This window comes from Homo sapiens, chromosome 1, assembly GCF_000001405.40.
Source record: "Homo sapiens chromosome 1, GRCh38.p14 Primary Assembly".
NCBI lineage: Eukaryota > Metazoa > Chordata > Mammalia > Primates > Hominidae > Homo > Homo sapiens.
In genome coordinates, this window is record NC_000001.11 from 198,020,493 (window position 1) to 198,033,006 (window position 12,514).

Consider the following 12,514-nt stretch of genomic DNA (forward strand, 5'->3'; position numbering starts at 1 on the left):
CTCAAAAAAAAAGAAAAAAAAAAACGAATTTATTACATCTTTCTCATATTATAGTTATCTGTGTAAATGTTCTATCATCCTCACCACTGGGATCTCCTAAAGGTGGGAATTAGTTTTTATTCATCTTATCACTTTTAACCTGTGGCGGTACATCATCACGATACAATAAACATTCCACAAAATGAATCCAATAACTTATTTGTTCTGTCTGTTGTCAGATGATTCCTTTATCATACATTGACTCTTCAATTAACTTTTGTATTCATTTTCTAGAGTTACCATAACAATCACCACAAAAATTTGGTGACTTAAAACAATAGGCACAGTTCTGGAGGCCAGAATTCTGAAATTGCGGTGTGGCAGGGCTGCACTCTTCTTGGAGGTTCTGGGGGGAATCCATTACTTGCCTTTTTCTATCTCCTGGTGGTTTCCCAGCATCTTTGACACTCCTTTACTCGTGGCCATACCACTCCAATCTCTGCCTCTGTCTCCACGTCACTTATCCTCTGTGTGTCTGTGTCAAATCTCCTATCTCTATTTTATAAGGACATTCATGATGACATTTAGGGTTCACTCAAATCATTCATGATATACTCCTCTCGAGAGCCTTGCTTAATCATATCTTTTACAAAACAAATTAATAATCTCAGGTTCCAGGGATTTGACATGGATATCTTTTGGGGGGCCATTTTTTGGCCTGCTATACTTCTTACAGCTACTGAAATGTGCTCTCTTTATAATTCTTGTCCTCTTTTTTTTTTTTTTTTTTTGGAGACAGAGTCTCTCTCTGTCACCCAGGCTGGAGTGCAGTGGCACAATCTCGGCTCACTGCAACCTCTGCCTCCCAGGTTCAAGCGATTCTCCTGCCTCAGCCTCCCGAGTAGCTGGGACCACAGGCGCTGCCACCATGCCCGGCTAATTTTTTTGGTATTTTTAGTAGAGACGGGGTTTCACCGTGTTAGCCAGGATGGTCTCGATCTCCTGACCTCGTGATCCGCCCGCCTCGGCCTCCCAAAGTGCTGGGATTACAAGCGTGAGCCACTGCGCCCGGCCTCTTGTCCTCTTTTTGTTGATTTTTTTTCCCTTTCCTGGGAATTCTTATTAAATAGAAAATATTTGCAGGTCCTTTTTCAAGTTTGCTTTTAATCTCCTTCCAACTCTATTTTTAAGTATTAAGAACCAATATCCATTGTGTGGAACAATCTAGTGGCAGTGAAATAATCTATCTATTTATATTTGTATCTCCTTGTCCTTTCCTGGTTTTCATTAATAAATGTTGTAACAAATGAAATTCCTTTGTGGCATATGCCTGCTAAATAAAGTTTTGGTTTTCCATCCAAAACATACACCTCACAGAACATGACGAGCATGCTCAGTATGTCTTTTACAGGTGACAAGAACTAGAAGAGGGTAATAGTTAGAAATATTTATATCTGCAAGAAACAGAAAAGCGACATAGGCCTTAATAAATGGGAGTTTATTATTTTTACTAACAATATTGCTGTTGACCAACTGGCTTGACATTTCAGTTAATGATCTCTTAGATTCTTGCGGATTTTCTTCAGTCAAGAGATGGCTTCCCCAATAACTCCCAACATCATATCTGTGTTCAAGGCAGGAAAGGAGTGCAACACTAGTCATGTTGCTTCTGCTTATGAGAATAAAACAAATGCCTTTTGGAAATCCCCAGCAGACTTGTGGTTATATCTTATTGGCCAGAGCTTTCCCTAGTTTCAAGGAAAGAAGGGAAATTAGTATTTATCCTCTATAGTGAAGGTGGCAAAGTAGAAGGGGGTTTGGAATGTCTTGTTAGAAGAGCTGCAAACCAGAACTGCCTTAGAGTTAAAAGTGGCCTGCTGGTATAGAATTAGCATTCTAAAGCTCATCTATCAAAGATAGAACTGGTCCTGATTTTTCAGTCTCATGTAGACATTGACCACAGAAAACCTGTGTTAGAGTTTAGCTTTCATCACTTGAGAGGCCTGCCAAAAACCTCCTCATTATCTTTCAAATGACAGAATAATGACACCAAAAGGCTTCCCCTGCTCATGAGTGTTGGACTACTCTATACCAAGAGCTGTGAAGGGGCTGAGAACTTTACCCTACTTAAAAGAAGACAAGTTAATCTGTTACTTATATGGAGTATCATGTAAGTGACACTCGAGGACACATGAGACTTCTAGGTCAGAGACAAGGGAATCTGTTATTCACACCAATAGTAGTAGCCAAAGTACCAACATTTTCTTTCTCTCATTCCCTGAGTCCCAATTGCCACAGGGTGATGTGAAGAGGGCGAGATGATACTGGCACATTTACTGGATTGGAGGAGAAACTCTGAGCTTATGAAACCTGAATATTTTATACTGGACAGTAAATATGCCTGCCCTGTGCTCTAGAGGGAAGCATTATCAGTACCTTCCAAAGATGCTCGCTACGAACGACCCCTGAAATGATAGTCTGAAACAAAGGCAGTCAGTGCCTCTGCTTAAAAAATATGCAGAAATGGGGGACATCCGTGGGGAAGTGTCCCAGCACTTCAGTCCCTCACACACTCTTGTCTGCTAACTCCACTCTGATTGGCCATCACCACCACCATTGCAAAATCAACAGAATTGGTTTGTATGTGCCATATCGATTTGGGAAGCTTGCTAACTCTTTTTATAATGCATCTAATGATAATCATGTAATCTAATGCCCAACTTCCCTTCTCACTTCCCAGTCCCTCCAAAGACCTCGTTCCAGGGCTTCCACCATGTCCATTGGCACTTTCACTAGCATTGAATAAGTGCATTACTTTCACATTTGTATACTGAACAAGTTGTTGACTGAAAGACAAAAGGGTCTAACCTGAGCAAAAAATATGTCAATTATACTATCGGTAATGAGTAGTGTTGATTAAGTCTTCTGACAATGGGGAAGTGAGAATTCATCAACTCTGTTAAAAGGATAATGAGTGGTTTGGGGCATGCTATGCAGGCTTGAATTAAATGGATTTATGGGAGAATCCGATTGTAGAAACTTCACAGCAGGTCACCTTCAGCTGAGCAATATAGCTGCCTATTGACTAGTAATGAGATTTCTGTTGAAAGCATAATAAGTTAACAGCTCAATGGGATTTTTTTCCCTAAAGCTAGAAAAAATAGGTTTTAAAAAGTGAAATTTGCTCCATTTTACCACAAGTACAGGCCAAATTCTTTGTTAAAGGTAACACCTCTGAGAAAAGAAAATGGCATCTTCAAGTTATAAAGTAAATCATATAGATTATATTATAGGAAAGAGGTTTTAGCTTTTTTTTTTTTTTTTTTTGAGACAGGGTCTCACTCTGTCACCCAGGCTGGAGTGCAGTGGCACGATCTCAGCTCACTGCAACCTCCGACTACCAGGTTCAAGGATTCTCATGCCTCAGACTCCAGAGCAGTTGGAATTACAGGTGCACACTACCACACCCAGGTAATATATATACATATATATATATATATTTGTTAGAGACGAAGTTTCACCATGTTGGTCAGGCTGGTCTCGAACTCCTGACCTCAAGTGATCCACTTAAATAAAATGCTTTTAGCATTTTATTGAGCAAATATGTTTTAAAAAAACTGGTTAAAGAATTTCCATTAAGAATTTCAATAGTACCAGAAACTAATAGGCCTAGAAAAGTCATTCATATTTAGATAGGGACATACTGGACAATATTATTTAGGACTGAGCATTTAGTGAGTGCTCAGCAGTCAGTAAATCATGCTTCATGGTCAACGGCAAGACCTTTAAAAAATTAAATCTGCCTACTCATGCTTCAGTCACTGTGATTTATCAGAAATCATGCCTGGGAAGAGAATTGATCTAGAAACAGTAGCCATTTCCGTTCATGCTCTTTAAGCACTTTATTGATAATTGATAGGTTCTCACTATGATCTCAGATGCTTAAGGATTTGACAAGTAGTTTTCCCATATAAAGAGGTCAAGGAGCTTGTTCTGAACAGGTATCCAGATGAATGCATCCAGGAGCTTGCTGACTGCTCTGACCTCGTATATTACTATTTTACAGCCAACTCCATTTATACCATCCTCTATACCACACTCTGCACTTTCCACCCCATGTCTTTGCTTATGTTGGTTTTCCCTTGCTTGGAAGGGAAAACCTTCCCTTCTTCTTTCCACCAGTAGAAACCGATTTTTCACCAATCTATGGCATCCCTTACTTCCTCCAAGATTTTCCTTACTTTGTGTTTTTCAGCATCGTGATTATAATGTACTGCATTGTCAGCTCACGTGGTGTTGTTGCAAACTGCTGTTGTTACTTCTATTTATTTTCTATCTCTCTCACAACAAAGTCTCAGTGTCTACTATAATGCTAGGCATTTTATGTTTAAAAATCTTTTCCTTGCAAAATGAATGACTTTTAAGCCCACCAAGAGCCAGGAGGTGAGAACAAAAGCAAGAAAAAATCAGTTTCATCACTCTGAGATCATCAGAGCAGCTGAAGAGATTCTCACCTTTGTGTGAGTCACACTCCCTGCAATCTGCCAGCTGCAGGGAAGCTCTGATACAGATGGGAGTGGAAAAGAAGATTTAAAAGCAGTTTCTTTTATATATTCTTAGGAAGCATTGATTCATTTTTTCCTCAGTTTTCATAATTGAGATTTTGGTGTTAGGTAATGTCACCTATTTTAGGGTGGTGCTATACACTAGGACAATGAACTGCCATGGTTTTTCCCTGGAGCAATATTTATATCTGCTCAAAAGTAAAATATTCATATTTCTGCTGCCTGTTTGACAAAGGGGCAGTTATCTTATGCAAGTCAATGTGAATAAAAAGGGGAGAGGGTGCAGGATGCAAGAGGAGGTCAAAATGCATTCATCTATCAAACTAAGAGATCAAGGAAGAAAGTGTGATGGAAAGCTGTGGTTCTCTGACTTTGGGTACAAAACAATCATTTGCAGAGCTTATGAAAAAAGAAGATTCCTGAGCCTCCACTCAGACTTCCTATATCAGAATCTGTATGTGTGTGTTTGGGGGAGAGGGAGAGCAGGAATCTACATTTTTAATAATAATAATAATAATAATAATAATAATAAATGGAATTCTTATTCAGAAGATCTGAAGACCACATTTTAAGAATTGGAGACAGATGAACCTAGCTTAGTTGCATTCTAGCAGCATGGACTTAATTACTCTAAGCCTCAGTTTTCTGTCAAAGGGGGGTAATATCAACGTATCCCATGGGGTTATTGGGAAGTTTGAAGTGATAAAACCTGCATGGTGCCTGCACAGGGTATATTTGAAAATATTTACAGTTTTGACATTTTAGAAAAGGTAGTAGCTTTATCTATCTGAAGTAATCCTCCATTTGAAGTGATGTGAATTGGCAGAACCTTTTTCACGAGGACCTGTGTCAAGAGTGAAAGGCTGAAATGCCTGCTTTTTCATTTCTATATTGCTGGTGATGCAGAAGCATCCCAGGTTACTAAATTCGCTGGGGAAAAGATAATCTGCTTATTGGAAGCATCACCATCTACTGTTTTTTTTTCCTTCCCATTTTCCACGAAAATAATAGAGCTGAGGGTTAGTTCTAAAACTAGGCAGTAAAATTTAAAATTTTTAGAACACCACACTGGCTCAGGGCAATGGTTTCTTTAATAGTGTAGAACTAAGGGAATATTCTGGGGATGCACAATAATCTTCTATGAAATCCAAATCCAAAAGTTAAAAAAAATCCCAAACCACTCTTTTTCTTAATCAACTATTAGGAGCTAATTGTTACATGACTTTATATAAGCCTTTAAATAAATCTATAATAATGTCTCATTATGAGACACTGATACACAAAACCTCACACTTGGAAAACTGGCAATTTTGAAAATGATTGAGATTCTTGAGAAAAGTGAGATGAGTTTAACTTCAAATAGCCAGTGTCTCCTACTACATTTGCAATGACAGTATTTACCAAAATTTAATTTTTCAATTTTTGTATGTACATTGCTTTTATAAAACATGGCTTAAGTTTATTTAAATTTTCATACAGACCTTTGAATAATAAACTGCATTTTTATTGCCTGTCAGATAAAGTAGTATTTTCTTTTATTTTATGTCTCTTGCCATATTTAAGTTTCAAATATTTGCCATTTTCCTTATTCAGTCTTTAGCTTCAGCATTAATCATTTCAGGCTATGAAACAATAATTTTTTCAACCTATCTTCATAAGAAGCCCACTGAATCCCTTGGGTCATTTTAGTTACTTTCCTGGATTATTTCCATTGTGAGTTTTTTTAAATAAAGAGAAAGAATATGATGCCTTTAATTTGCTTTTCAGTGCATTTTTTGACATCTTCACCTGACAGATAGTTTCCTAAATATTAAAAATTCATTACATTGATTTCTCAAGCTAAAGTAAAAATAACAAAAATGAATAACATGATTCAATTGCATATTTCCAAAATTTGCCTTCTTTAAAGGATATTACAAGATATTTGTTTTGCAGAATATTCAGCTTGCATGATATGCTTTGGCTGGGTCCCCACCCAAATCTCATCTTGAATTATAACTCCCACAATTCCACATGTTGTGGGAGGCACCTGGTTGGAGGTGACTGAATTATGGGGGCAAGTCTTTCCTGCACTGTTCTCATGATAGTGAATGAGTGTCATGAGATCTGATGGTTTTAAAAAGGGAGTTCCCCTGCACAAGCTCTCTATTTGCCTGCCACCATCCATGTAAGACTTGACTTGCTCCTCTTTGCCTTCTGCCATGATTGTGAGGCCTCCTCAGCCATGTGGAACTACAAGTCCATTAAACCTCTTTTTCTTCCCAGTCTCAAGTATGTCTTTATCAGCAGCATGAAAACAGACTAATACACTGCAAATAAAACTATATCTGAATGTAAATTTATAGGCTCAGAATGTTAGAGTTGAAGGTGATCTAAGTCCTTTTTTACAGGATAAGTAATTTTAAAATTCTAGTATAATGTGTTTTCTGTTATTCTTAAGCCTCATTATTTACAAATATCTTAGTCAGCCTCGCTATTAATAGTAAATTCCCATCAAGACGTCTATGACAGTTTTCGGATGTCCCCAAATTGTCACTTTCTTTGCATTGTTTTGTACTGTTAATATTCAGAAATACATTTTCTCTTTTTAATAGCTATATCTGGTATTTAGATATTCTAAATATTTAGTATTTAGATAGTAGATGTCATTCACCTTTACCAGTATTTACATAGTTATTGAAATAAGCAAAATATAATTTAAGTAACAAATATCAAGATAGCTTAGAAGTGACAAGTAAAACATAATTCAAGAATGTTTTAAAAGTAACATTTTCCTGATTATAAAGGTAAAATTTGTTCATTTTAGAAAATTAGCATACTGTACAAAAGCAAAAAGAAGAAAATACATTTCCAGCATTCCACTATCTTAAAAAAAAAAAAACCTTTAATGGCTTGCTATGTATGTAAGTAAATTGAGAGAGACAGAATGCAGGGATATACTTGTACAATTTTTTTTGTGTAATTATTTACACACTACAATTTTTTTAACTATAAAAAGTTGAGGCTAGGCATGGTGGCTCACGCCTGTAATCCTAACACTTTGGGAGGCCAAGGTGGGTGGGTCAACTGAGGTCAGGAGTTCGAGACCAGCCTGGCCAACATGGTGAAACTCCATCTCTACTAAAAAAAAAAAAAAAAAAAAAAAAAAAAAAAAAAAAAAAATATTAGCTGGGTGTGGTGGCAGGGTGGCAGCTGCCTGTAATCTCAATTACTTGGGAGGCTGAGGCAGGAGAATTGCTTGAGTCTAGGAGTCAAAGGTTGCAGTGAGCCAAGATTGGACCATTGCACTCCAGCCTGGGCAACAAGAGTGAAACTCTGTCTCAAAAAAAAAAAAAAAACTTGATATATGTGTGTCTTTAATTATTGATAGACACTTTTTTGGTTACAGCAGAGTTTGGTTTTTAGATAATTGGTACTAACTCTAAATACTAGAGGTTAGATCTAATTTTTTCCTGTTATAATAAGAAATTAAATGATTGACTAAGGGACAGACGCCTGTTCTGTTATAGAAATCATTACAAGCATCATCTTAAAGCTACAAAAAATGCATCTATAGGTGCATTTTTAGGTTACTCATCATACAATCTTCTAGTGCATCTATAACTAATGCAAGAAGACACTGTAGGCTAACTTTGTTTAATAATATATTATCATTAGCTACTATATAAAGTTCTTATTTATGTAATTTTTAAAGCCAAAAATGAGCAGGTAAATGAGGACCAGGATTCCTAATAAAGGTGTTATTTATTAGGAATATAGCATTCAAGAAGGATTCTTTAGATTTTAGAACGATTTAATGGGCATCAGAGATTTAGTGTCATTTGATTTTTTAATAAAAATCTTCACAAAAGTTGATATTACTGGTTTACTTTTCTCATTGCAATTTCTTCATGCTAACATTAAAAATAAAGTCTCCTGAAATATTTGAGATAGGCTTTTTTACCTCACATTGCTTGGACAATGCATAGTTGTTTTCATGCTAAGATATTGGAAGAGCTTTAGAATTGAGAACTGCCTGTAATGTCTTTACTCCTCTCCTTGACTCTTCACCTTCTTTACAATTTTCTATCATCTTTAGGGAAGGATTTTTATTACTTTTATAATAACCCACTATCTATGGCCATTAGACATCTCTGTCAGCTTATCTTTTACCTTCTTCTCAGCGTGAAAAATATTTATCCTTCCTGTTGTTTTCCTGATCGGTCTCCAGCTTGCTTCTTCATCCTTTTCCCCTGCCGTTTCCCCAGTTTTCTTCTACTTCTTTACTGAAAAGGAACTTAGGAATAGTCTGATTTTGGAGGTCCCTGGAGACTTCTAGATTGCCATGGCAAGGTTAGAATGAGAACAGCCTACTGTCATGCCCTCAGAGGGCCCCTTCTCCAACTTGTATGGTCACTGAATACCCAGTAATGGGTTAAGTCAAAACTGGTGATAATGAATAATGATACCTGACTGCAGGGAGTACTTAAATACTTGGAGATGACAGAACCATATATACCATATCTTTTTGTTCCAAGGTTGCATTGCTTGAGAGAAAAAGTGGTACCCTTTTGGGAAGGAAGTTACAAATTATCTCTGAAAGCAAAGTGCATATAAGACAAAATTTCCAGTGTAGTTTGGAGTAGTGATAGTGACTCAGAACATGCTGTTCAGAAGAGAGTTCTAAGAACAAACATGGAAATGACGTTATAAGTAAATTTAGGAAATGGAGAATCTAAAGGATATCTGAGAAGAGTCTAATGTAATGTTCGCATACAATGAATTTTAGGTGGCATCTTTTTTGTTAACAGAATGCTATCATAGTAATTATACTGTTAGCTATAATTTTAAGTTTAGAGGAGAATTGAAGTTTATTTAATGAGTCCCAAGCCTATGAGACCTAAAGCAATTTCCCCAATTCACAGTAAGTAGAAAGTTTACATGGTACTGTTGAGATTAGAACCTGTGTCTCTTGTCTCTTAGTGTGTTGCTTTCCTCAATATTATTTTTTATACATATAGGGAGGTGTGCGCTATTTGTTAGCTTTTGTCTTGTTTCTCCTTAGTACATTTATATAAATTCTCAAGAATTTAGTACTGGTCTGACATAGTCCAAACTGATCTCTTTAATGATCTATATAGTAGAGTAGCCAAAAATGATGACCTTCAAGTAAGACAGATCTGGATTTTAATTCTCGCTATGCTATTTCTTAGCTATGCAACCCTGAGTGAGTTAATTTACCTCTCTGTACTTCATTGTTCACATCTGTAAAATGCAGCTAGGAAGAGCTACCTTGTGTATATAGGATTGTCTCATAGTAGCATCCACTACATGCTTTAATGCATTTAAAGTGCTCAGTGCATTGTCTGGCCCTTACTATGTGACTCAGTATCATTGTTGTTGTTGCAGTTATGGTTCATGTCACATTATTGCATGAATTATTTCTTAAGTAGGAATTGAAAGCAAAAATAATAAAGTTTGATTACGATTTAAAAATCTGCTGTCAAACCTTAAATTGCCAATGGAAATCTGTCCCAATGTGTTTCAGTGTAAGGAGAGCTACTGCCAAGAAGGCAACAGGGATCCAAAACCTCATGAAGTCCCTAAGCCCATGAAGTCTCCAAAGAGGTGGACTAAGAGAGGACTCCTTATGGTGTCCTAGAGAAGCAGACTCAAATAACAAATCCCTGTGTAACTGCAAAGGTTTATACAAAGTGGCATTCCATGCAGAGTAGAGAATATGATGTAAAGAGCCATCAAACATTATGAGATCCCTCCCCTGCAGCACATAAACAAAGTGAGGTGGAAAACAAAACAGAAAGTCTGCATGATAATCCTCAGCAATACACCGCTTTATGAAAGGGCATTTTAGTTCAAATGTGGGAAGCTGTGCCAAAAAAGCTGAAGGCAGGCAGGCCGAGCCAAATTAGAACAGAGTAAAAAATTTGTCATACCTTTGTAATTCACACAGCAGCATATTCAGCTCAACTACAAGCTGTCCAGATGTTGGCCATCTGACTCTTTATAGCTGTGGTCTGTTTTTTCTTTAAAGCCCCCTTTCCTCCCTGAGTTCCCAGACACTTGGCATTTCTCTTGAAGTGGAACCTGAGTTGAATAAAGAATTAGTCTTCTTTTCAATTTTCAGTCCAATTTATCTTTTTAAGAGAAATATTTTGAAAACAACAAAGTCCTTGATTAAATTTACATCATAGCAAGAAAATTTTGCCAAGTGATTGCTTAAATTGATAGCCTTGGAGCCAAATAGACCTAGAGTAGAATCTTGGATCAATCATTTACAGGTTGTGTAAGTTTAGGCAAGTGATTTAATCTGTCTATGCCTTAGTTTTTTCCACAGTAAAATGAAGATAATAGCAATAATACCTACCTTATTGCCTATGATTAAATGAGACAATGTATTAAAACATGAGCCATAGTGCTTGGCACATAACAAGCTCTCAATGAATGGCAGTTGTTTTTGTTACAGTATATTTTAAAATCTGTTTTATTCTTAAGGTCATTACTTCCTATGACTTCTGTAGACAAAAGCTTCCAAGACAGTGAGGATAAAGGAAGAATCATTTTGTATCAATTTATTGGTAACTTTGTAATTTAATAAGTATTGACTTCAAAAGAGGATGTAGCTCTACTTTTGAGGTGTAAAAAATATGCGTGTGTGTACATATGTATCTTAGCACTAGAATTAGGCACTGGAGAATTCATCACTGTCATATGGCAAGGTGAATACTTACTGCCATGCAGAAGTCAGTTTTCACCATTTGATCAGAGATTAGCCTTGTCCATCCTCCTTTAAGAGAATGACTTGGAGGCTGTAAGGAAAGACCTGTAACTAAATTCTTTCTATTGATTAGAGGTGTGAGGTTAGGGCAAAGAGTTGGGCTGATACTTGGAGGCACAGTCAGAATTTGTTTACGTAGAATAGGTCATTTGATAATTTTGAGCTTGTTTTTATTCTTTTAAAATAATTAGGCCAAGTGCAGTGTCTCACACCTGTAATCCCAGCCCTTTGAGAGGCTGAAGCATGTGGATTTCTTGGGTCCAGGAGGTCAAGATAAGCCTGGGCAACATAGTGAGATACCATCTCTACAAAAGATACCAGATTAGCCAGGCATGGTGGTACATGCGCCTGTAGTCCCAGCTACTCAGGAGGCTGAGGCAGGAGGATCTTTTGAGCCCAGGAGGAGATTGTAGTGAGCCAAGTTTGTGGGACTGCACTCCAGCCTGGGTGACAGAGCAAGACCTTCTCTCAAAAAATAAAAGTAAAATAAAACAAAATAATGAAAGTAAATCATAAAACTCAACTATTTCTTAGAACAAAATTCCTCTTTATCAAAGAAAATGGAGCTCACCCTAAATGCAACGTACCAATGTTAGGTACCTATGTAATTTACGGAAAGCTAGAGAGAAAACTGGAGATGTCTTTTGTGCAGTAAAATAGAATCTTCCCCTTTGATGATGTTAAATGCCATCACATTTCAATGGATAGCATAAGGTCTGACAGCAGGCAAAATGAGCTCATCCAGTGATGTGTGTGGCAAAACAACAGCTGTGATTGTTTTAGGTAATAGAAAAATAATTAACATATAATACACCATGCTGAAAAGCCTTGCATTTGATCACAAACAAAAATATAACATTCCTTCTGAAGTTTTTAAGTATATGAGCAAAGAAAAACAAGTGGTTCCCAAATCCAACTGATCTTCAGCATTCCTTAGGGCTCTTCTAAAAAATTCTGGCTCTCAGGCACTGGGTCTGCAAGTGGTTATTCTGAAGGTCTGCAGAGAAGCCCAGGGTATCTTTTGTGAAACTCTTCAGGGGACGTGATGATCGTATAGTTTGGAAACCACTTCCTGAACTATACTGTGCTGTCTGCTTAATAGGTCTTAAATCTTTTTCTGACCTGCTTCATGGTGTCTTAAACCAAGAGATTTGTGAGTTAAGATGTATGTGTGTTGTCAAAATGGATAATAATT

General features: G+C 36.9%; 1 annotated feature.

Moving 5' to 3' along the window:
- Nucleotides 11,590-11,764: a silencer, noted in NCBI's record as "fragment chr1:198001212-198001386 (GRCh37/hg19 assembly coordinates)". NCBI's record gives its function as "represses an EF-1alpha promoter that drives an FKBP-Casp9 reporter gene in an ReSE screen in K562 erythroleukemia cells {active_cell/tissue: K562}" and the evidence as "EXISTENCE:reporter gene assay evidence [ECO:0000049][PMID:32094911]".